We start from the raw sequence: 21,767 nt of genomic DNA, 5'->3' as shown, positions 1-21,767 counted from the left end.
GGCACCACCTCCTCAGGCAGGAGGCCCCTAAGGCCGGGGTCAGAGCAAAAACACCCCTTCCTTCTGGGTTTCTTTTGTTAAGAACAGAAGGAGGGGGATTCTAGGGGAAGGCCGTGTAGCCCCTGCCCAGATCTGTTTGCGGATACCTCTGTGACCTCTGCTAAAGGGTGCAGCAGGGCAGGTGGCGGGTCACAGTTCTGAGAAGGTAACATACAAAGAGATCTTCCCTTAAAGATGTAGGAAGATAAGGAGGGGGGGAGTTGCTGGGGAAAGCCCCTTCTCCCATAGCCCCTGTGGGCCCTCATAGAAATGCAGGTTGGATTGTGGTGCAGCCAGGCAGCCTGTCCCCTCGAGGACAGGACCCTGGGGAGGGCCCCCGGGGCAGGCAGGGTGTCTGCACATACGCACACACTCTCTCATACACAACACATGCCTGTATGTGTGCACAGGCCTAGCTATGGAGTAGGAAACGAACTCAGACGCCATTCTCATTTGGACAAGCTTAAAACACGATGTGGCTCGTTTTTATTTTATCTCAGAAAAAAACATTCCCTTTAGAAGGAAAGGCAGTTAGACAAGGCCTCTCACTGGGTAGCTCTGCGCTACTCAGCACATGCCAGTGGCCTGCCAGCCCCAACCTCTCCCCTGGGACCTGGGCCCATGCTCTGGCACTGCTCTGTTACAACTCCCTGTCCTTGATCCCAGCTTTGTCACTCCAAGAGATGGCCCTGGGACTGAGAAGTGGATGGCAGCTGTGACAGCAGGAGAGGACTGCCTGAGGCTCCCCGGGCAGAGGCTCTGGTGCCAGGTTAGCAGCAGGACCGACGGCAGACCCAGCAGCCAGAGAGTGAAAGGTAATAAAATAAAAAGGGTTTCCTCACACTTACATTTTTCCTGGAAAAAAGTCAAATGTCACCTCTGGGCCCAGCAGCTCCTGAACCCTAGGAGAGTCTAGGGAGAGTGGTGTGTGGGTGGCAGGAGGCTGTTGGAGCCACTCCCCAGTCTCAGGGCCAGGCCAGTCTGCTGTGCCCAAGCTGCTCTGTGGAGACAAGGTGGTGCTTCCAGATGCTTCTGCAGTGGAGGGCTGGGCCCTGCCCAGCAAAGATGCTGCTGGTGCTGTGGCCCCCACCTGGTGCAAGGCCTCACAGCATGAAACATCTGCTTCCTCAGAACCCAAGCCCTTCTTGCTGGGCCTCATGCTGCTCCAGCCTGGGGCTCCCTTCTCTCAGTCCAAAGTAGGAACCGGCTGCCCTCAGGGTCTCCTGGCACTCTCTCTCTTCTCCCAACGTGACTGGTCAAGCCAACCAGAAAGATAAAGATCTCCTTCCCTTAGGAAGGGGCAAACTCCATGAATCATCAGGACACTCCTGCTCCATCCTGGGCCAGGGGGTCATCTAGGCCAGGGGGCTCTGGGCACACTCCCTTGAGCTCATGGCTAAGGAGCTCCACGTCTGGGAGGCCCGTGTTCCCCTGGGACTCTTGGGCACTCCCTCCACTCACCAGCCCCAGGGCATAGCCATTGGGCCTCCGCTCAGGGTGGGGAGCACTGCCGTTGGCCCACACTCCTGGCGGGTGGCCGTTGAGACGGAGGCTGACCTGCTCTCCGTCACTGCCATGAGCTGCCAAGACCCGGGCACTGGTGCCAGCTGCCTTGAAAGGTTCTTGCTGCCTCAGGACGTGGCTGCGAATGATCTTGCGGAAGGTCTGGCGGAACTCGCGGATACGGTAGGCGTAGATGAAGGGATTCACAACCGAATTGGTGTGGGAGAGGACGATGGCCAGGTACATGAGCCAGAGAGGGGCGTGGCTGCAGTCGGGGCAGAAGAAAGTGAAGCAGTTGATGATGTGTAGGGGCAGCCAGCAGAGGGCAAAGAGCCCCACAATGATGGCCAGTGACTTGGCAGCATGGACCTCCTTCTGCAGTGTGGACCGTGCCCGCTCCCCCGGCAGAGGCTGGCTCTCCATCTGCTTCAGCTGTCGTCGCGCCGCCAGGAAGATCCGCAAATAGACACCCAGCATGAGCAGCAGGGGCACCAGCACACAGGCAAAGAAGTTGAAGTACACCATGTAGTTCATGGGGACCACATCCTCAAAGAGACAGGCCACTTGGCCCTCCCCGCAGCCCTGGGAGTGGTTCTTGCCCTCCTTTGGCTGACCGCAGTTGTTCCAACCTAGCATGGGAGTCAGGCCGATGGCAAACGACAGCACCCAGCAGATGGCAATGATGCCCTTAGCCCTCGTGCCGGTCACCAAGCCATTGTACCTGGGGAGAAGAGACCAGCATCAGAGATCTGAGAAGCCAGGGTTAAGCAGGGCCAAGAGTTCAGAACCCCAGAGCAGCACCCGTTTCCACATTTCCTGACTGTAAGGTCTTGGACCAGTCATTTCCTGCCACCTCGCCCCAGCATCCTCTTCCGTTAAGTGGAAGTAATATGCCTTGCCTTTTTCACAGGCTTCTGGGAGGTAACAGGAGAGCAGGCATCCAAGAAATGGAAACCCATGTACAAATGCCCAGATGGTCATTGAGTAGTTTTCGGAGTAGTCCTGGGACTTAGTTTGGTTGGAGGAAATTAACGCATGATTTTTTGAGGGGGAAAACATGATTTTTCTCTAAAGGGAAACGTGTCGTAGCCTTAACCAAGATCAATTACCTCCATGTTGGTCGCAGCCTTAACCAAGATCAGTCACCTCCATGTTGGTTGATCTTGGTTAAGGCTACAACAGGCTTGAAGGGGTCTGGAGGGTGGCTTTACTGGCTAGGGGCAGCACCAGCCAGATCAGACCTATAGAGGATCTAGGCCTCTTGTACTCCATACCCTGTCTTCTCTTCCCCATTTGCCATTTGACTTGGGGACTCCAGAAGCCCTTGAGGAGAGGCAGCATGGAGGGTAAAAGAGGGGAGGAGGTCCCAGGCCAAAGGAGATGCCATTTCTCCCCTCCAAACCCACCCACAGCCCTCTGGAGAGAAATGAGAGAATTACTTGTTAACATTTACATGGCCATCTTAACATTTGCAAGGAAATACTGAGGTCCAGGGGGACAGTAATCTGCCCGAAATCACTCAGTCTTCCTGAGTGAGAGCCAGACAGAAATCCAAGCCTACCGACTCCCAGTCTCATACTCGGGAAATGGCTGGATCTGCCAGCCAGTAAGCAGACCTCAGCCCTGTAGGAAAGGTGGCCTAGATTTCATGAAAGAATGGACAATAAAAAAAAAAAGTCTCCCTAATTTAGGAAGGCAACCTTGATGATCACTGAGGGATGACTTCTGTTTAACAGTTTTGATTCTGGCAAGACCAGACTACACTCCCCTCTACCTGGCAGAAACCCTACCCATCCTTCAAGTCCAGGATAGAGATCTCAAAGAAGTTTCCTACCGAAGTGCAGCAGATCCCCACCACATCTGGGCCCCTCGGGGGCAGGGCTTTCCTACATCCATCTCTGCATTGCCAGCTCCGAGACAGGGACACTCAGAAGGTGCAAGGAGGCCGGGCGCAGTGGCTCACACCTGTAATCCCAGCACTTTGGGAGGCCGAGGCAGGCGGATCACGAGGTCAGGAGATGGAGAAACCTTGTCTCTACTAAAAATAAAAAAAACTAGCCGGCCGTGGTGGCGGGGGCCTGTAATCCCAGCTACTTGGGAGACAGGCAGGAGAATGGTGTGAACCCAGGAGGCAGAGCTTGCAGTGAGCCAAGATCGCGCCACTGCACTCCAGCCTGGGAGACAGAGCAAGACTCAGTCTCCAAAAAAAAAAAAAAAAAAAAAAAAAAAAAGGTGCAAGGGGAAGGATGTGCTCTACTTAACTGCGGAGCTGGGAACATCCACAGAAACCATCTCATTCACGGGTAGCAAACAGGCGCCTATAGGTAGCACACACAGGAGGCAGCTGGTGGGGCGTTTACCTGGTCTTCAGCGCCATGCAAAACGTACGCCTGCTATTACCAGATCTCAGGTGGGGCTGGGGAGATGATTTTCTGGGTAAAATCTCCCAAGATTTAAGTTTTGTCAACTAATTCAAATAAAAGAGAAAAAGAGAAACCCTGGTGGCTTCCGATCTCTTATGTGGTCCAATCCTCTTGTTTTACAGGTGGGTAAATTGAGGCCCAAGGAGAGGAATGGACTTGCTGTGGACATTCCAAGAGCCCAGAGGCAACTCAGGCCAAGGCGAGTCTGTCTGTTCTGAATCTCTTAGGTCAGTTCTGAATCCAAACAGTAACCGGACAAGCCCATTCTCAGGAGCTCCTCAGCTCCATTCCGTGGGGGCTTGGTTACCTGTAACAGGGCCTCAACAGGAGGGTCATAGACTTGCCCATTGCTTCCAAGCAACAGGGAGTTGGCATTGCCCTGCCTCCTGTGGGACTCGCAAACATAAAATCTCAGGCTCTCTCATTCTCACATCTACATTACATAGCACTGACTCTGTGCCGGACACTGTTCTTAGTGCTTTGCAAATAGTAATTTATATAGTCCTCATTGACTGGGAAGCTATATTAATTTTGACATTATTCCTGAGAAAAGCATATCCCTTCCTGGGTTCTGGCCCTGTTAACAGGAATGTTTTAAAACTTTGTCTCTCTGAGCCTCAGTTTCTTCATTTGTAAAATGGGACCAAGTCGTGGACCTGTCAGCACTCTGCCCTCTAAGGGCAGAATGGAGAATCAGTGGGTGGAAATTATAGGGAGGCAGATTGTAACTCAGGGTAGGTTAAGAGTTTTTCAGCTGAGCTGTTCACAGGAGAGATGGCCTGCCTCAGGCAATAGTGAGTTTCCTGTCATTTGAGGCAACAGAGCAGAGCCAAGCAGCCACAGGGGTGTTGCAGAGCTGCCTGGGCCCTGGGCCACCTGCTTTGCTGGTTTTCAAACTGTTCTCAGCAGCAAACCTTGTCGCCCACATTCCCAGGCAGTCACAGAGGTGAAGCTGCTGGGGAAGGGAAGGGGCTTATTAAATGTTTATTGAATCAGTGAATTGGTGGGGACACCAGAGCCAACCCGAAGGCTTCTGGGAACACAGTATGGAAATCCCTGGTCTGTCCAATTGTTGACTTGTACAGAAAAGGGAACCCACAAGGGGAGTCTTCCACCGTACTCTGCAAAGAAAGTCCCGTGTGGGGACAGAAACAAAACATACATTAATAGCACTTGCTTATATATGCAAAGAATATCTCTGGAAGGATTCTTAACATGGCCTTGCAGGCAGGGAACTGAGGGTGGGGGACAGGGGGTATGGAGGACAACTTTCTACTATACTATACTCTTTTGTTCCTTTTTAATGTTTTAGAGTGGGCAAAACATGACTTTTTTTTTTCTTAAATTGCAAATAGACTAAGTTTATTCAAAAGAAATCTCCATAGGCTGAGAGCCCTGGACCCTGGTGCCCACGGGGTGGGGACAGCATCAGGGCCCAAATGGAATCACAGCTGAGCCTCAGCCAGGCCCAGCAGCATATCCTGGGCTGCATCTGTGACCAACACACTCACATCTTGCCGTCTTAGACCCCAAACATTGACCATCCAGCTGGAAGGGATGCCAAGGCTGTCTAGCGTGACACACCACCACTCTGGGGTGCCCAGGCATGTCAGAGAATGTGGGTCCCAGAGCTGCTGCCCACCCTTTGTGGAGGTGCCCTCTGCAGCTCTGTGTCCCCCGGCTTGCAGGCTGCCCCTTTCTGGGGATCTCCATTACCCACACTGGGGGCTCACCCTATGGTCCAAGAATATGCCCCATGATTCCAGCTGGGGCTTTATGTGCACATGTCCCAACCTGAGGAGTAGGTGGAGCCTTCCTAAGTTGTCCAAAGGAGTCATTGATCCAAGAATTGAAGAGCCATGGACCCACAGGGAAACCTCCATTCCTTCCCCTGGTACGAACAGGCCTGACTTGGCCTCCACCTTTCCTGCCCACTCTGTTCATCTCTCTCTGTCACTAGGCAGCCAGGCCACCCTTCCCTACCCAGTGCTCACATGCTCATTCCTTCCTCAGGGTCTTGTCCCAGGCTTTGCCCCCCTCCTGACACACCTGCCCCCACACTCATGCCAGTGAGACCCTGCCTGCCCGTCCTGCAAGACCCACTGGGTGACACCTCCTCCAGGGAGCCCTCTCTCCCAATCCTGCCCTCTTAGAAGTGTTAGGACTTCGGGCCTCACCACCAGCTGCCACCTGCACCTTGGCCTGTTCCTCAAACCAGCGAGAACATCCACCAAGGGCTGCTGTGAGAGCCAGGGAGGGGACAGTGAGGCAAAAATCCCCTGGGAACTGGAAAAAGAAGCCTGTGTCTCTCACCCTGAATTCCCTATCCTCTGGGAACACAGAGAGCTACATCTCTGCCTCTGGCCTGAAGTCTTTCTCACAGAGTTCCTCGACTAGGCCCTGTGCTAGCCCAACAGGTTCCCTGAACTTGGAAAATAACAGATTTTTCCAAAACTGAGTTCTTTTTTTTAAAAAAAAAGTTAATGGAGAGTGGGGCAGGCCTGAGGCTAGACCCAGGGCTAGCCGAATGGACCTTTCTGAGTGGAGCAGGAAACGGCACGTAGAGGAGGCTGGATTCCCAGCTGAGAAAGGAGGAGGGAGGATCCTGAGGCAGGCTGTGACTCCAGCGCCGGCCAGGAGTGTCACCAAGTTCCTTTCATACCCCGCTTGCTCTCGGGAGCCCACATGGACACCTCCACATGCCCAGAGGCCCAGGGGCCCTGAGGAACAGGAAAGCGAAGGGACCTGCGGGCCAGGAACAGCCTGAAGGGCCCTGGAGTCCATCCACATCAGGAGACACTCGTATGTCCTTCCCTGCTCTGGCCTCCCCATGAGTTTGTGAGTAACAGGAGGGTCAGAACATCCGCCTGGCCACAATGCAGGCCAAGAGGATGACAGGAGATGCTGAGCTGACATCCTTTGGCAACTGCAAAGCTCTCTGCCCTCAAGGGAGGATGAACATCATCGTCGTCATCCTCTCCAGGGCCCCCTGCAGAAGAGACCAGCCTAAGCCTTGCAGAGCCTCATGGAGCAGAGTCAAATGGCTCAAGGTCTGGGTGGAACTAAGGTCCAGCTCCAAGGAAGTTGGGATGAGATGGGTAGAGGATAGGGGGCAGGTCCATGGCTCTGAACCCAAAGATCTGAATCCCCACCCTCCCCACGCCTCCAACCCTCCTCAGGGTCCCTGTCACCCCATCCACTCACTGGACCTTCAGAACACCTTTGTGAGCTCAGAGGGGCAGAGAGACTTGTCCTATTTTATGGATGAGGAAATGGGCCCAGAGAGAGGCAGCTAACTTTCCATAGCCACACAGCACATCCTGTCCTACTACATAGGGAGTCATTCTCTCAACTCTCAGAAAACAGAGAAGGAAAGGGAGAGACAAAAGAGAAAAAAAGTCGAGCTCCTTTAAATTGAGAACGGCAGCCCTGATCATACCCTTTGAATCAGAGAAAAAAGTGAGAGCTTGGCCTCTGCTTCCCCATAGAGCATCCCATCAGTGTGCAGACTCAGCTTGGTTCCCTGAAGTCCCCTCCAGTGCTTTGTTCTCTGGCCCACCTGGGCACCTGCAGACAGGGCCCCTCCTGGGCCTCCGTGTTCTGAGCTGCCACTGGACGAACCTAAACTCTGCTCTGCCCGTCGCAGAGCAATGGATGGAGGCTCACCAGAGACTGCACTTGGAGTCCGACAATCCCTAATTCCACCCCTCTCAGGGCTGGCCAGGGTCCCCTTCTCCTTTGCCGAGGGTTCTAGACTCTCCTGGGATAGAGAGCATCTGACAGGGCAGTGTGAGGTCCAGATTCCTCCCCTTCCCTGGAGCAGCCCAGTGCAGCTCCTGCTCCCACTTAGAGCCCAGGTGACAGGGACAGCCACCTGGTGCAGGCTCTGCGAGACAGGCTGCTCATGACCGCTCCCCAGTGACTGAAGTCACAGTGGGGATCAGGCCACATTTCTTTCCAGGACTCGCCCCAGCTCCACTACCAACTCGTTGTGTGGCCCGGAAACAGCTGGCTGTCTTCTCTGAGGCTCATTTTCCATCCCGAAGATGAGAGGAAATGACCTCTAAGGGCCCCTTGGCTTTGACGCTCTAAATTTCCATTTGCTCATCTAGCTGGGTCCTCCTTCCTGCTGGGGCACCCTCAACCTGCTGTGGCTTCCTCTTTAGATAGGCACCCACCAGTTTCAGATAATTCACCGCAGAGATGGTGCACCCTGCTCCCTGACTCTCAAGAGGCACCACCTCAAGCCTCATACATGGCCTCAGGGCCCACAACCACCCAGGCTGTGGAACCCAGCTCTGTGGCAGAGGGGCCAGGAGGTGGGGCAGAAGGCCTCTGACGTCCCCAAGGGAGGGATGCACTTTCTAGCCTCATCTATGGCCTGGGTAGGTGGAATCCATGCCGAGTAATTCAGCCTCTGGGAAAATCTTCATTTGCACAATTACTTGGCTGAAGTCACTTCACAAAAGATTCACCATAAAAATCCCCTCCAACAGCCAGCCCCTGAGCACACTGGCTGCCTCTAAGACGATGAGTCCTTGGTGACTTGAGGAGCAACAGAATTTGCATATAGGTCCAAGTGACTCACTGTGGCATTCAACCAAGTCACTTCCCCTCTCTGGGTCATTTTCCTAATGTGCACACTGCAAGGCTGGCCCAGAGGATCTGGGGGAAGGCAGGTGGCGGGCGGCTCCTAACTCTGAGGTCCTATGGTTTCCCCTGGCTCCCCACTCCACCCCAGCATCATCCGGGAAGTTTTGCTTGTGTGTGAGGAATGGCCCAGACACACCCGCTGGCAGCACGTGGGTCACTGGGACCACAGCTCCCTGCTAAGCCCAATGCCAGACCCTGGCCACACTCATCTGCCAAAAAGCAGAGCACAGTTGGCCTCAGGCAGCCTAGGGGAACCCAGGCCGCCTGGGAGGGCCAGGCTGCCCTGCGCCCATAGGGGTCAGTCAGTTCGGCATGACTGCTGGCCACGTGCTGGCCCTGGGGAGCCCCTGCTGAGCCTGGGGCCCCGTCGCCAGCTCACCATGCTGACACTGCAGACCAGGCCCTGATCCCAGGCTCACCCTGGCTCCGGGCACAGACCAAAGCCTGGGCACCAACAGCCTTTGCACAGATGTAACCCCGGCCCTGCTCACCGGAGCGGGATGCGGATGGCAATGTAGCGGTCAATGGCGATGGCCAGGAGACTGAAGATGGAGCTCTGCGTGAGGACCAGGACGAAGCAGGCAATGAAGAGGCAGCCGTGGCAGGCAGCGCAGAACCCGGTGCTGATGGTGATGGCAAAGGGGATGGCGAGCACACCCACTGCGATGTCGGCCGCCGCCAGTGACACCACAAAGTAGTTGGTGACGTTCTGCAGGTTGCTGTTGAGCCACACGGCCCAGCACACCAGCACATTGCCCAGGATGGCCAGCACAGCAATGGCCAGCTCCACCGTGATGTACACCGAGGAGCCCATGATGGGCATGGCCACAGACGACAGGCAGGCTCAGCACGGACGCGGGCTGGGCCAGCTCACGGTCCATTGCTGCAGCCCAGCCGCCCGCCTGGCTCCCAGCCCGGCCCAGGCGGAGGGGCCCAGACCCCTGAGCCCCTTCCTCACAGGAGCCAAGTGCAGCCCTGCTGGGGCGCTCTCCAAGGGCTTTTTCACAGAGGACTCTGAGTCTCCTGAAACCAGGCCCTCTGCAGGGGTTCTGGCAGCAGCATCATGGCTCAGCCCAGCTTCAGGGTTCCTGAGGCACCTGCAAAGGGACAGCCGATGAGAAGCTGAACCATCTGCAGAGGGCGAGCCCTGCGGAAAGTGCCACCCCTTACCCCACACTTGGCCCCCTGAAGACCCTATAGTTTCAGATCCCACCCTACCCACAGGCCAGGTGTCAGCCTGAGGATGGCCCCTGACCCCGCCTAGCCCCATGCCCTGCCTGGTCTGCTGTGGTCATAGCCAGGAGGCGAGAGAGGTGGGAATTTGACCCTCACTTTAGAGGAGGACACCCAGAGAAGTCACTGAGCAAGGCTGGTTCCCCTGGTCCAATAGAATTCCCGCTGAGACTCCCACACAAACCCCTCCCAAGGAGGCAGCCCCTTCTCCCAGGCTCTGCAGAATGAGTACTGCCCTAGCTGGGCCCCTGCCAGGACTCCAGCTCACCCCAGCACTATCCATGGCTCCCTGCATTCCCTGCTCTGCGCATTGTTGTCACGGTGCCTCCCACTCTGGACTCAGGGCCAAGGATCAGATGTGGTCTGTTTTTTTCCTGGGGGAGCCAGAAACTTGTTAAAGTCTGTCAGTGTTGGCCCCCCCATGCTCAGCCTCTCAGGCCTCCTGTGGCAGCTTGGCCAGTCTCCTGGGTCCTGGATCTCGGCCAGCCCCATGACACTCCCTCCCAGAAAGGCCCCTCCCTGCCCAGGCTCTCCCAGTCCCACCCACCTTCTCTCGCCAGGCCAACTTCTCAGCCCCCCTGGCCTGCTCCATCCCGTCAACTCTCCCAGGAACTACCAGCACCCACCTAAGGGACACCAGCCGCCCTGTGAAAGGACAAGCCAGAGACCCCTGGAGCTCGGATGTGGAAGGATGTGGGGAGCTGCCTGGTCCTGTCTCCCACTGCCGCAGAGGGTAAGCCCTCTCATACTGCGCCCGAACCCGCTGCCTCCAGGTGCCCCTGCCAGTCAGCTGCAGTCAGGGCAGGGGCGGCGCTGCAGCTGACTGTGAGCTTCCACTCGGAGGGAGCTGCCTCACCTCCCTCCTCCCACGCCCTCTCCCCCACCTGCTCCTCTGCCTGGCTGACACCAGGAATGACTAACGGGAGTTTGGTCCCTGGCAGAAAGCAGGTACGGAACCAGGACTCACTGAGGGACTCTGGGCAAAAATGCTTTTCTTTTCTGGGCCTCAGTTTCCTCATTGATACGGTGAGGCAGCTGGACCCCAAATGACCTCTAGGGGCCATGCCAGCTCTCACCCATGATTCTATGAGAAGGAAATAAACAGATTTAAAATGGCTCCCCCAGAGTCAAAATGGAATTACTGACACCCCTCAGAAGCAGAAGTTTTGGTTCCCCAGCAGGCCTGAGCCCAGCCCCAACTCCCAGTGTCCCCTTCGAGCCTGTGAATGGTCTGGATCCAAATGGACCTCTGCCCGTTAAATTGCCCCTCTTTGAGAGCTAAGAGGCCCCCAAATCTACCCCCTCCAATCCTGAACCCTCATGGGGCCCTATGAGTGTGTTGCCAGCCGCCACCACCTGCCTGGGGACAAGAGGTCAGAGGCTGCCTTTCACGTGGACTCGGGCAGCCACCTCGTCTCTCTCTCTCTTCCAGGACATGAGGGATGGAGCAGGACTGGCAACCTGGAGAGGAAGTCACTCCTGGTCCTGAGCCCTGTTCAAAGGGCCAGGCTCCCCTCTACCCCATTGTCCATGTGACAGAGCTCAAACACACAGACCCCAACTTTCCCTCCAACTCCAATGCTGTCGGCACCTCAAGTGGCTGGAACAGGATTGGCACGGGCTGCAGCCATACCTGGGACTGGAGGTTCTCCTGCACCCAGCAGGCCCTTTTGCCCCTACTAGGAGCCTGGGAATGGAGCATTGACACAGAAGCAGGAGGAGGAAGGAGAGAGCAGAGCCAGAAACCCTGCAGCAACGGAGGGCCTGCAGCAGCTGGAGAGGGCCGAGTCCTCCCAAGCCCCTGCTTTCCATGGAGCACTTGCCAGGCAGCCATTCACAAAGTGTGTCGTTGGCAGGGATGCACCAGACCAGCTCTCCTGGCACCATCCCTGGCCACACTCAAGGAACACAGTTATCCCTGATGCTCTTGGCCTCTCTCCCTGAGCAGTACTCACCAGGGCCCACCTGACTCACGATAGCCCCTGCCCAACAGGTACAAGTGGAGCTGGTGCTGGCCCCGGGCTGCCTCCCACCCAGGTGCCTGGCCTGTGGCTCCAAGGTGGACTCCCAGGCCCAGCACCACCAGCAGCAGCAACAGGCGACTGTCCAGTGAGGCCCAGTGGGCCACTGAGGAGCCGCCTCTACCCAGGGATCCTGCCTCCCACCACGGCCCTCTCTAGGGCATCTGCATTGAAGGATGCCACAGCCTTCTGCCAATCTGACCATCCCAGGCTAGAAGGCTGATGCAGCCCCAGACCACGCTCCAGATTCAAGGGCCTTGCTGGGGGCAAACAAGGTGGAACATAACACGTCTGCCAAAGTGAAGGAGGACTCCCCAGTCCCATCACCCAGAGCCCTGCTGGTGGGGTCAAATCATCGGCGCCTGCCTCACGGGCTGGACTGGTGCCATGCCAGCTGGGATGCCCAGTTTGGGAGAAGCCTGACCAGGGCCTCTGTTTGGCAAGGCTTCCCTGGCAGCCCTGGGTACCTGCCTGTGTACCCCCGTTCTCAGGGTCTCCCCACCTTCTGTGCTGTGGGTCCCCATGCTAAACAGCACTAGATACCGATAACCTTCTTGACTATACTGAAGCCACCTTCCTGCTGCCCACCAGCCTCAGTGACAGCAACAGACCCCTCTGCCCAGGCCGGCCTCACACGGGGCTAAAGACACCCACGGCTCCTGCCAGCAGGGTCCACACAGGCCACCTCGCTGCCCGTCCTCTCCCTCAGCCCCTCCTTAAGCACTCCTGCAGGCTCTCCCAGCTGCTGCCAGCACATCCCGGGTGAGGCTTGCCCGGACCCACAGGCAACCTGGGCCCCTGCCAAGCCAGAATCCACTCTCAGCTGTGCCTTTCTCGGCCCTGAGCAAAGCAGATCAGTGGAGTCAGAGGCACCTTTGGGGCAGACAGGGGAAGAGGAGTGCATTCATTGGGGAAAGGTTGGGAGCTACCCAGCCGTAGGCTGGCAAATCAGCTCCTGGCCGGGGGCACCCTGACTTACAGGCTTTGCCTGATTTCTGTGGTGTAAATTCTCCCCTTGTGCCCAGTTTCAAGCTACTAATGTGTCGTGGACCGTAACTGGGGAGCAACACAGAGTCAGCTGGCCACGATGCCAGTCACTGCTGAGCTGCCAAACCTTACGCGTCCCAGGGGGCACCTGCCTAGAGGCCAGGCACTGCACTGGACCCTCAGACACAGCTTGTGCAGCCTGCTTAGGAGCTTGGGAAATGACTGTCATCTGTGATCTTGCTGGTCCCAGGAAGCCCATTTTACAGATGAGGAAACTGAGGCCCAAAGGCACGAAGCGACCTCTCTCAGCCTCACCAAGAGCACTGGAAGGTGGTGTAGGGCTGCGGCCGTGCGCACAGAGAGCACAGCAGCAGGAAGGCTCCTGGGCCTCCAGCTCCCCTCCCTCAGAAGCCTCCCAGAGTGACAGGAAGGTCAGAGGCCCCGGGGAGGGGGCGGGGCCAGGATCTGGCAATTTCCTATCCCTCTCTGTTGGCTCTGTGCATCTAATTACTCCTTGAGTCATCTGTTGCTAACCAGGAGGGGAAATTAAATATTAATAATGTAATACTTCTCTGTGATTACCCCTTGTTGGGGACAGATCAGAGGGCAGATGCTGCCCCATACAGACAGGGGACACATGCTGCGGAATGTGCATAATGCCTCTTGAAAGAACCACCTTATAGGATTCCACGCGGTCAGACTCAAAACTGCTGCTGCTTCCTGCCTTCCTCCTCACCTCCCCCAACCTGGCCACTTTAATTAAAACTCCATTTAATCAAAACCCACACATCTTCTGGTTCCTCATATGTCGCACTAGCAAGGCCCTCTGTACACATGCCCAGATGGTGGCTATACCCCCCAGAGCCTGCTGCACGGAGGTGCCCACCAGCTTCTAGGCAGTGACCTGCACATCTGCTCCTGAGTGCGGCTAAGAGCAACATACAGGACACAGTGCACGGACTCGGACCCGCTCCAGCCATGCCTGGCCTGTTCCTGGGCTCCAGAATCCCAGCCTTAGAACCCTCCTGCTGCTTTTCCATAACAAATGTTTACCAAGTACCTCCACCAGGCCTGGCAGCACCCCAACTGCTGGGCCAAAGGGAGGTGTGCCCCCGTTGCTGTGCCTGGCCCCATCTGAGCATATGGCAGGGGACCTCAAAGGAGGAAAGGACCCAGGACATTCCTGGGAGGCGGCTGCTGCCCTGCAGTTTCAGGCACTGCAGGCCACTCCCTGTCTCCACAACATTGGCTCAGCTAAGAGGAGTCGCAAATCAATTTCAAAGCGCAAGAGGTATATGAAGGCTAAGAAAGGTAAGCAACAGAATAAAAAACATGGAGGTGAATTCATTCCAGTAGGAAGGAAGGTAATACAGTAATCTAATAATGATTTCAGAGACCTTTAGAATCTCCAAAGAGGCAAAGAAAGGAATGGCATCCGTAGACAAGAATGAGAACTTCTGAACCGACTGGCGGAAATGAAACAAGGACAGGTGGATATGAACAAGAAATAATACAAAATCCAGGGACTGAAAAATAGAAGGACTGAAGTAAGGGATGTGGTGAGCTTCAGGCACACGTACAGTGGAAGAGACGACTGGGGATCTGAAGCTAGTACTGAGGAATTCTCCCAGAAACGCCATGAAGAGACCTAGTCTAGGAGGAAACGGTTGAGAGGCATGGGGTGGACTGAGAAGCATCAACAAGTGGCTTGCGGGAGCTCGGCAGGGCACGGCAGGTTGTGGGCCCCACTATGACTGGCTTTTGGGATGGCCCAGGGGGGCCTGGGCATGAACCTCCCAGAACCCAGGGCCCCAGGATCCCCATACCCCTTCCAAACTCATCAGCGCAGGTGCCTTCCTCACTGCCCAGTGGTAAGCAGCCACCCAGCACGGGCTCCACTTCCCTCCTGACCTCCGGGGCTGCCCGGTGGCCCTTACTTCAGGCGCTGGGTGCAGGCTGGGCCCGGGACCCAGAGATACACCTGGCATCCCTCCCCCACAGCCCGGGTGCAGCTGCAGCTCTCTGCTCCTGGTGGCAGGATGTGGGCAAGATGGGGCCAAGACCCAGCTCCCTGCAGCTGGAGGCTAAGGCTCTGAGCCTGCCTCACAGAGCAGCCCCCACATCGCAGCCCCGGGGCCAGTGCTGGGGGCCCCAGCTCCTGCTCCCCACACCCCCATGTGTCCAGGCTAGGGGCCAGGAAGGCCACAGCACCCCCTCCTCCCCGCCTGGGGGCCACTCACCCCCTCACACGAGGCTTCACCTGACAGCCCTCCTCCGAGGGGCCGCACCCCGCACCAAGGTGCTGGGGGCCCACGCTGTGCTGAAAGCAGCTTGGCTGGGGGCGGCTCCTGCTCCATGTCACAGTCCCTGAGGCCCAGGCAGAGCTTCCCCTCTGCACGCGGCTGCTCACATGTACACAGGCTGTGGTGAGCCACGTCACGTCACGTGAAGGATTGGCACCTGCACCTCCCTCAGATGGCGGGCAACAGGTACTATGCCGCTGAAGGGGGGACAAGGGAGTGTTTCTAGATGGCCCCGCGGACACAGAGCCCAGGAGTCCTGGGCGGGACCCTGTGGGAGGCTTGAAGGGGCAGTGCTGGGTGCAGGGCCTCACAATGCCCCAGGGTGGCTGCAATGAGGATGGGAGGGGTGAGGACCGGCTGTTGGGTCCCTGGGCAGGTGCGACGAGGCAGCCCCGGAGGCTGACAGGAGGGCAGGGTGACCAAGCAGAGCCTGGCCACTGCTTCTTCCCCACTGAGCAGCCTCCCCCAGGCTGGCTCAGGGTTTGCAGAGGCCACTGAGGGACCAGAGGCGAGTCCTCCTGTGACACGGGCAGACCAGCCCGGGGCCTCTGGGGAGAAGTCTCCTGCCCAGATGCCAGAGGAGACACCAAGTGGCACCATCGGCCTCCCTCTGCTTGGCCAGCTCCGGCAGCCTCTCCACCAGGTGACGGCCGATGCCAGAGACCAGGGCTGCAGCGGCACATCCGAGGAGTGGGCACAGAAGAGCAGCAGCAGCCCCTGCCCAGTGACTCCTGGAACAAGCTTCCCCTGCGGGGTGTTGGCGGGGGGTGGTGAGAGAATCCCCATGGCAACTCACAGAAACATCATCTGGGTGAGACTTGGAGGAGAAGGTGAAGGGAGAGAGGTATCGAGAGATTCTAGCAGAGAAAATGCCCGAAGCCAGGGTCCTGCCTTCCCTGGGCTCCCATCATCCCCTGTGCTGGGACGAGGGGCAGCTGCTCTGCTGCTCCTCTCTCCACCTGATCCTCCCCAGTCCCTGGCCAGATCCATGGAGTCCAGGCTGCAGGGGCCCAGGCCTCCTCCGCCATGAAACTGCCTCTTCCCACCACCCAGAGCCCCAGGTTCTGCACAGGATGTGGGCAGTTGTGTGGGGGCTCCTCTCTGCACCCCAGCTCCATTCCCTTCCCCATCTGGGCTCCTCTGCTCCTTGCAACCTCTGGACCACCCACCTCCTAGGACCAAGCCCCTCCTGTCAATGGCCCAGACCCTTCTGGGAGCTAGAACCCTCCCATTCACCAGCTCAGCTCCTGCCTGTGCAGTCTCCTCTCCACAGCACCCCCACCACACATGCCCTAAATCCCCTCAGCCTGTGCTTCCCGCCTTCATCCATCCATCCATCTTCTGTCTGTCCTTCCTCTGCTCTCCTGCGTGCTCAGGGCTCTGTTTGCGCTGCAATAGACAAGACAGACCCCGCAAACACGGTTGGGAAGGCAGTTCTAGCTCATTTGGGGTTAGGTGGCTCGGGTATTAGGTCTGTGAGAGGGTACTAAGACCTTCTTTGGAGTGTCAGGACACAGCTGAGAGCCACCAGGGGCTGTGGTCCCACACAGCAGGCACTGCCCAGGCCTCACCTGGACTTTGCAGGACGTGATGCTCTCAAGTCACATGCTGGCTCCCAGGCCAACTACCATTCATATGTCCCTCTGCCAACAGCAATCCCTGTGGTGTCCCCTGACCCTCAAGCCTAACACCCTCCCTCCCGGGTTCCCCGCTCCAGCACACACCCCTCACCGGCCCTCTGGTCTGCCCTAAACCTTCCCCCACTTGCTCCCAAGCCAAGGCCTTTCCACATTAGGCATTGCTAAGATCATCATCCTTGTTCTACAGATGAGATATCAGATTCCCCGGGACAGCAACCTGCTCAGCGAGTGGGTCGAGGAGGCAAGACCAGAACCCAGACGAGAGCACTGAAATCTCCAGCACATCGCGTTGCCCATGAGGCAGTCATTGCCATTGATTGCCCTCCTCCATCGCGACGCAGGGCATATTTGGGGATCTGTAATTCACAGACTGATATGGGAAGAAGCCCAGCACAGCTCTCAGACCAGCCAGGTCAGCCTTGGCCTAAGGCCCGCCTCTGGCCAGAGGTGACTGGGCTGCCCCTGGCTTCCTGAGGCAAGGAGCAGGAAAGCTCACAGCTCAGCCAGCTCAGCACTGGGGAAACAGGGGACACGGATGGAGGGGTAGTGGCTGGGATTTGCCTGAGAAACTCTAGGACTAGGGAGAGGCTGGGAGACCCCAAAAAGCAAGCGCAGAACAAGGAGGGACTGACACCGTGGCCGTGGACCAGCCTGTGAGGCGCCCCTGCCATGGATCTGCCGGGATGTTGGGCGGGGGGGGGGGGGGTGCTGCCCACAGGGCCCGGCCTTCCCAGCCCCACCCAAGGCCTCCAGGAACGGCCAAAGCAGGGCCAGTGAGGAAGCCCCGACCCCGCAACAGCTTCCCAGGCCCGCGGTGCTCCACAGAACCCTCCACCATGGTCCCCAGGGCTGGGGCACCCTGGGGCAGCCCTGGCGCGTCATGGAGTATCGGCAGGGTGCCCCGCCGGGGAACCCAGGGGGAGCCGGCAGCAGAGGCAGGGTGGAGGCGGCCTGAGCACCTGGCAATAGGGGAGAAGGCCCTGTGTGTGGCAGAGCCCAAGAGAGGAGGTGCTTCAGGATGGCGACGGAGGGCTGGCTTGACCTGCGGCTCACCCTCCAACAAGGGCCACAAACACCTGCGCGTCTTTGCAGGGCCCCGACTCCCCCAGCCTAGGACCCAGCCCTGGGTCTCCCTCTTCCTCCCATGGTACAGTCGGGGCAACTAAAGTCTGAGTGCGGGACACAGGGACCTCAGCTCTGCCGGCCCGCGGCCTCCTCCTCAAGCCCTTGGGCCGCCTTGCGCCAAATCCCTCGAGAGCCGCCACCATTCCCGCCATTCCTACCTCCGCTCCGGGCAGCCAGACAGACGGCCGGGGCCAGTCCGAGGCGCGCACCCACCCCCATCCGTCCCCCGTCGTCTCCTGGGTCCCCCAAACCCAGTTCCCGCCACCACTGTCCACGGAAGACGCCAGCGCTCGGCCCAGCGTTCCTGATTCCCCCTTTCTCGGCGCGTCCCGGGCGCTCGGGTATCTCTGCCCGCGCCTCACCTTCCCGGGGAACCGGTCTCCGCCCGGCTCCTCCACCTGGGGAATCTCCCTCGCCCCGGGGCCCGGCCCGCCACCCCTCAGGAAGCGCCTCTGCGCCCCCGGTCCATCCCTGCTGGAGGAGCTCGCGAAGGTTCATGCGAGCGCGCGGGGCCGGTCTGCGGCGCATGGACGGACGGACGGACTGACGGACGGACGCTCCCCGCCCGCTACCTGCGGCTCCGCACCCCGCGCCGCGCCGGCCGCCGCACTTGCCTTCCCTCCCCGCCTACCCCTGCGCGCCTTCCGGTGCAGTTTGGGACAGCTCGGAGGGTCCCGCACGCGGCGCCGCAACTGCGCCTGGGACGTGACTGTGCCTGGGCCCTTCACAGGCAGTGCCGGCAGCCGCCGCGGGGCAGGACTCGGACCCCGCGCCGGGGAACTGGTCTCGGGGCGGCGGGAAAGGAACCCTGAGGGGAGCAGAACCCCAGCCTCCCAGTCCTCCCGGCCCCGCACCCCCGACGGCCCCACGCCGCCCGGCCACCAGCCCCGGACCCCCGGCACCCCGCACCCCGGACCCGGCACCCAGGACCCCGCACGCCAGACCTAGCACCCCGGCTGACCTGCCGCTCGCACGCCGGCTCCCGCTGTCTCGGCGGCCGCTGGGTCTCCGGCTCCGGCCGCGCCGCTCACGGGCGCCCCCTGCAGGCAGCTTTGAGACCCGCGCTGCCCCCGCCCCGCCCCGCTGCGCGGAGAAACCGAGGCCGGAGGGGGACCCGAGGCATCGGCCCGCGAGGCCCGCAGGCGATCCTGGAAGGACGATCCCGCAGGTGTCCCTGTCAGGACGAGGCCGCGACGGGCCTGGACCGCGCCACATCCCCCGCCTGCGGCCCCCCAGCGCGCTCCTCCCGGGCTCGCATCCGTCCCGCCGCTTCCTCAGCGCCACACTCACCTCCCTTCCAGGAGTCCTCGGGCCTGGGAGTCCCCTTCCCCGCCCCTTGGAGCGCTCCGGGCCCCACCCCCACACTCCCTCTTTTCTTTTTTTGAGACGGACTCTTGGTCTTTCGCCCAGGCTGGAGTGCAGTGGCGCGATCTCGGCTCACTGCAACCTCCACCTCCCGGGTTCAAGCGATTCTCCTGCCTCAGCCTCCCGAGTAGCTGGGATTACAGGCGCCCGCCACCACGCCCGGCTAACTTTTGTATTTTTTAGTAGAGACGGTGTTTCACCATGTTGGTCAGGCTGGTCTCGAACTCCTGACCTCGTGATCCGCCCGCCTCGGCCTCCCAAAGTGCTGGGATTACAGGCGTGAACCACCGGGCCCAGCCTCCCTCTTTTTTAAGAAGCCCCCATTGCCGGCCGGGCGCGGTGGCTCACGCCTGTAATCCCAGCACTTTGGGAGGCGGAGGTGGGCGGACCACGAGGTCAGGAGATTGAGACCATCCTGGCTAACAAGGTAAAACCCTGTCTCTACTAAAAAAGTACAAAATTTAGCCGGGCGTGGTGGCATGCGCCTGTAGTCCCAGCTACTCGGGAGGCTGAGGCAGGAGAATCGCTTGAACCCGGGAGGCGGAGGTTGCAGTGAGCTGAGATCACGCCACTGCACTGCAGCCTGGGGGACAGAGCTAGACTCTGTCTCAAACAAACAAATAAATAAAAAAGAAGTCCTCACTGCTGCCTCTGCCACTATGGTCCTGTGGAACTCTGCTGTTCCTTATCAGAGTTGGGCTGGATCCATGCCCCTGTGTCACCCGTTCCCCAGTGTCCAGCTGTGCCCAATGCCTGCTCCTCAGATCTTTCCATGGCTCCCCAGGTCCTGAGGGATAAAGGCCAGCCTCCTGAACACGGCGTTCAAGGCCCTGCCTGACCCTTAGCTCCCCCACCTTTAGCCCTGCCCTTCCTTAGCCTGGCCCAGGTGCTGGTCTTGGCAACAGCTGTTATCTCAGTTCAAAGATGTGTCCCCAATTTCCAATGCCCCCTCTGCCTCTCCCCATCCCAGACTCTGGGCCAGAGACCCTCTTGTTCTTCCAGCTCCTGGTGCCCAGTGTGGCCTTGATCCTCCCCTACTTCCCTGAACAAGGAGGCAGGGAGTCCTGTCTGCACCACAGACTAACTGGGAATTTTAGAGCCTGAGGCTGGGAATTCCCCCCCCATCCCCCCGCCCCACTCGCCTATTTTCTGGAGACTTCCAACTGGGAACAACTTCATGTCCAGCCCTCCAAGCTGTCCAAGGGGACCCGCCTTCTACCCTTGCATCTGGAGGGATGTGGACTAATCCCAACTGTTCACGACAGGACAGGCTATGTCAGACAGCCGGGGCATTGGTGGCCAAAGGCTTTTGGGAATCCTTGCATTCTAGAACCTCTGGGGACCAGTGGGGTCCTGGCTAGAGGCCCAGGGTGGAGGGGCTTGCCCAGGGCCAGGCTGGACCCTAAGGCTGAAGGCAGAATGGGGGCATGACCTCTATCACAGCAGCTACCACTCACTGCAGGGAGGAGAGGGTGGGTGGGAAATGGGCACACAGGCACCTGGCCAGTGTGTTAGGAGAAGCATGGGGCCCATGGCAGTGACCATTGCTTACCCAGATGCAGCCTTGAGCATCTGGCAGCCTCCCTGGCTTATTCCTGGGATCGAAGCCTGGGCCCCCGTTCCCATTCAACTAGCCCGGCTCTCCTGGTCCTTGTGTTCCCTAATGTCCAAGGTGGAGGAGGAAACCCTGGGATGTGTGGGGACCTAGACAGCTTGAGTTAAACTCCGAAGGGCGAGACCCACATGAGACTCTTGGGGCGCTGTCCCCAGGTCTTTCCAAGGAGACCTGGCCCTGGTGCCCCCCTCTCTGTCATCCTGGCCTTTGCTGACCCTCTATTCAAAGGAGCTCGCCTTCTCCCATGGCCCTGGCTTTCCTCAGTGGAGGAGCTCCCCCTCCAGGTGGGGACACCGCCCTGGGACCAGCGGCAGGGGCTTCCCTGCAGACCTTCCAGGACCCATATCCTCACCTGTAAAATGAGTATCTTGTGTCTGCCCTGCCCCCTCCTGGAGGTTAAGTCAAACCACAAGGTAGGGGTGAGGGATGCTGACGGCCATGGGGCCCTCCCTTGGCCCCATCCTTGGCCCCCCCATCCTTGCTTCTGGGGCTCTCCACGAGGTAAAACCTCTCCTCTAGTGGGGACAAACCCCTCCCGCCCACACCTGCTGGACCCAGATTCATTCAAGCCCTTACTCAGCAAACATGCACGGAGCGTCCTGAGTCTTCCTGAGGGGCTCAGGGGGCTCACGAGGCAGAAACCAGCCCTCAGCCGATTCTGAGGGTCTGTCTCGTCCCCCAGTGTGGACCCCAATGACTCCTCTGCCATTCCCATCCTGGGGCCCGCAACCTTCCTGCGTGGACCTTCCCATGCATGGTCTAGCCATGTGCACCCCAGTCCCACAGCAGGAGGGTTGCAGCCGCAACGTCCTCACGCAGGGAGTGATGGCTTTGTTCCAAAGCTGGTCCTCAGGGTCACA

At 58.8% G+C, this 21,767-nt stretch overlaps 1 protein-coding gene and 2 long non-coding RNA genes across 10 annotated transcripts in view, besides 12 other annotated features; 1 reads left to right on the top strand and 2 right to left on the bottom strand.

Moving 5' to 3' along the window:
• The window catches only part of ADORA2A-AS1 (ADORA2A antisense RNA 1), a 65,869-nt gene extending 52,229 nt beyond the window's left edge, over nucleotides 1-13,640 (top strand). The window contains exons 4-7 of one of the 2 annotated variants that reach the window (NR_028484.3): nucleotides 706-854; nucleotides 10,412-10,584; nucleotides 11,284-11,949; nucleotides 12,482-13,640. This is a non-coding gene — a long non-coding RNA (ADORA2A antisense RNA 1). Of the gene's footprint in view, nucleotides 1-705; nucleotides 855-3,278; nucleotides 3,553-4,087; nucleotides 4,570-10,411; nucleotides 10,585-11,283; nucleotides 11,950-12,481 lie in introns of those variants that run through there. The other variant, NR_028483.2, reaches the window with a different exon arrangement.
• Nucleotides 486-21,767, bottom strand: part of SPECC1L-ADORA2A (SPECC1L-ADORA2A readthrough (NMD candidate)) — a 171,544-nt gene continuing 150,262 nt past the window's right edge. Inside the window, 2 exon segments of the long non-coding RNA NR_103546.1 lie at nucleotides 486-2,263; nucleotides 9,110-9,715. This is a non-coding gene — a long non-coding RNA (SPECC1L-ADORA2A readthrough (NMD candidate)).
• Nucleotides 489-19,249, bottom strand: ADORA2A (adenosine A2a receptor). 7 transcript variants are annotated; one of them, NM_001278497.2, is made up of 4 exons: nucleotides 10,478-10,598; nucleotides 10,120-10,225; nucleotides 9,110-9,715; nucleotides 489-2,263 (listed from the first exon to the last, which is right to left on the bottom strand). In NM_001278497.2, exons 3-4 carry the CDS (start codon nucleotides 9,439-9,441, stop codon nucleotides 1,357-1,359), a joined length of 1,239 nt encoding a protein of 412 aa, NP_001265426.1. In that variant the 5' UTR covers nucleotides 9,442-9,715; nucleotides 10,120-10,225; nucleotides 10,478-10,598; the 3' UTR covers nucleotides 489-1,356. The 7 variants fall into 7 exon arrangements, 5 of the variants coding, with proteins under 5 accessions (NP_001265426.1, NP_001265429.1, NP_000666.2 ...); NM_001278500.2 differs by lacking the exons at nucleotides 10,120-10,225; nucleotides 10,478-10,598 and adding an exon at nucleotides 19,218-19,249; NM_000675.6 differs by lacking the exons at nucleotides 10,120-10,225; nucleotides 10,478-10,598 and adding an exon at nucleotides 15,100-15,247.
• Nucleotides 5,097-5,176: a silencer, noted in NCBI's record as "silent region_13551". NCBI's record gives its function as "represses an Ori minimal core promoter by ATAC-STARR-seq in GM12878 lymphoblastoid cells {active_cell/tissue: GM12878}" and the evidence as "EXISTENCE:reporter gene assay evidence [ECO:0000049][PMID:35858748]".
• Nucleotides 7,271-7,771: an enhancer, noted in NCBI's record as "H3K4me1 hESC enhancer chr22:24831043-24831543 (GRCh37/hg19 assembly coordinates)". NCBI's record gives its function as "activates a minimal SCP1, AML or CMV promoter by ChIP-STARR-seq in primed H9 embryonic stem cells {active_cell/tissue: H9 hESC(primed)}" and the evidence as "EXISTENCE:reporter gene assay evidence [ECO:0000049][PMID:30033119]".
• Nucleotides 8,350-8,479: an enhancer, noted in NCBI's record as "active region_18771". NCBI's record gives its function as "activates an Ori minimal core promoter by ATAC-STARR-seq in GM12878 lymphoblastoid cells {active_cell/tissue: GM12878}" and the evidence as "EXISTENCE:reporter gene assay evidence [ECO:0000049][PMID:35858748]".
• Nucleotides 8,900-9,449: an enhancer, noted in NCBI's record as "H3K4me1 hESC enhancer chr22:24829365-24829914 (GRCh37/hg19 assembly coordinates)". NCBI's record gives its function as "activates a minimal SCP1, AML or CMV promoter by ChIP-STARR-seq in primed H9 embryonic stem cells {active_cell/tissue: H9 hESC(primed)}" and the evidence as "EXISTENCE:reporter gene assay evidence [ECO:0000049][PMID:30033119]".
• Nucleotides 12,425-13,386: an enhancer, noted in NCBI's record as "H3K4me1 hESC enhancer chr22:24825428-24826389 (GRCh37/hg19 assembly coordinates)". NCBI's record gives its function as "activates a minimal SCP1, AML or CMV promoter by ChIP-STARR-seq in naive H9 embryonic stem cells {active_cell/tissue: H9 hESC(naive)}" and the evidence as "EXISTENCE:reporter gene assay evidence [ECO:0000049][PMID:30033119]".
• Nucleotides 13,461-13,620: an enhancer, noted in NCBI's record as "active region_18770". NCBI's record gives its function as "activates an Ori minimal core promoter by ATAC-STARR-seq in GM12878 lymphoblastoid cells {active_cell/tissue: GM12878}" and the evidence as "EXISTENCE:reporter gene assay evidence [ECO:0000049][PMID:35858748]".
• Nucleotides 15,057-15,166: a silencer, noted in NCBI's record as "silent region_13550". NCBI's record gives its function as "represses an Ori minimal core promoter by ATAC-STARR-seq in GM12878 lymphoblastoid cells {active_cell/tissue: GM12878}" and the evidence as "EXISTENCE:reporter gene assay evidence [ECO:0000049][PMID:35858748]".
• Nucleotides 17,228-17,878: an enhancer, noted in NCBI's record as "H3K27ac-H3K4me1 hESC enhancer chr22:24820936-24821586 (GRCh37/hg19 assembly coordinates)". NCBI's record gives its function as "activates a minimal SCP1, AML or CMV promoter by ChIP-STARR-seq in naive H9 embryonic stem cells {active_cell/tissue: H9 hESC(naive)}" and the evidence as "EXISTENCE:reporter gene assay evidence [ECO:0000049][PMID:30033119]".
• Nucleotides 17,879-18,530: an enhancer, noted in NCBI's record as "H3K27ac-H3K4me1 hESC enhancer chr22:24820284-24820935 (GRCh37/hg19 assembly coordinates)". NCBI's record gives its function as "activates a minimal SCP1, AML or CMV promoter by ChIP-STARR-seq in naive H9 embryonic stem cells {active_cell/tissue: H9 hESC(naive)}" and the evidence as "EXISTENCE:reporter gene assay evidence [ECO:0000049][PMID:30033119]".
• Nucleotides 18,490-18,929: a silencer, noted in NCBI's record as "silent region_13549". NCBI's record gives its function as "represses an Ori minimal core promoter by ATAC-STARR-seq in GM12878 lymphoblastoid cells {active_cell/tissue: GM12878}" and the evidence as "EXISTENCE:reporter gene assay evidence [ECO:0000049][PMID:35858748]".
• Nucleotides 18,940-19,259: a silencer, noted in NCBI's record as "silent region_13548". NCBI's record gives its function as "represses an Ori minimal core promoter by ATAC-STARR-seq in GM12878 lymphoblastoid cells {active_cell/tissue: GM12878}" and the evidence as "EXISTENCE:reporter gene assay evidence [ECO:0000049][PMID:35858748]".
• Nucleotides 20,834-21,443: an enhancer, noted in NCBI's record as "H3K4me1 hESC enhancer chr22:24817371-24817980 (GRCh37/hg19 assembly coordinates)". NCBI's record gives its function as "activates a minimal SCP1, AML or CMV promoter by ChIP-STARR-seq in primed H9 embryonic stem cells {active_cell/tissue: H9 hESC(primed)}" and the evidence as "EXISTENCE:reporter gene assay evidence [ECO:0000049][PMID:30033119]".

The sequence above is a fragment of the Homo sapiens genome, chromosome 22 (assembly GCF_000001405.40).
Source record: "Homo sapiens chromosome 22, GRCh38.p14 Primary Assembly".
NCBI classification, from domain to species: Eukaryota; Metazoa; Chordata; class Mammalia; order Primates; family Hominidae; genus Homo; species Homo sapiens.
Note: the sequence above shows the minus strand (reverse complement) of the source record. Positions and strands in the feature narration are given on the sequence as shown.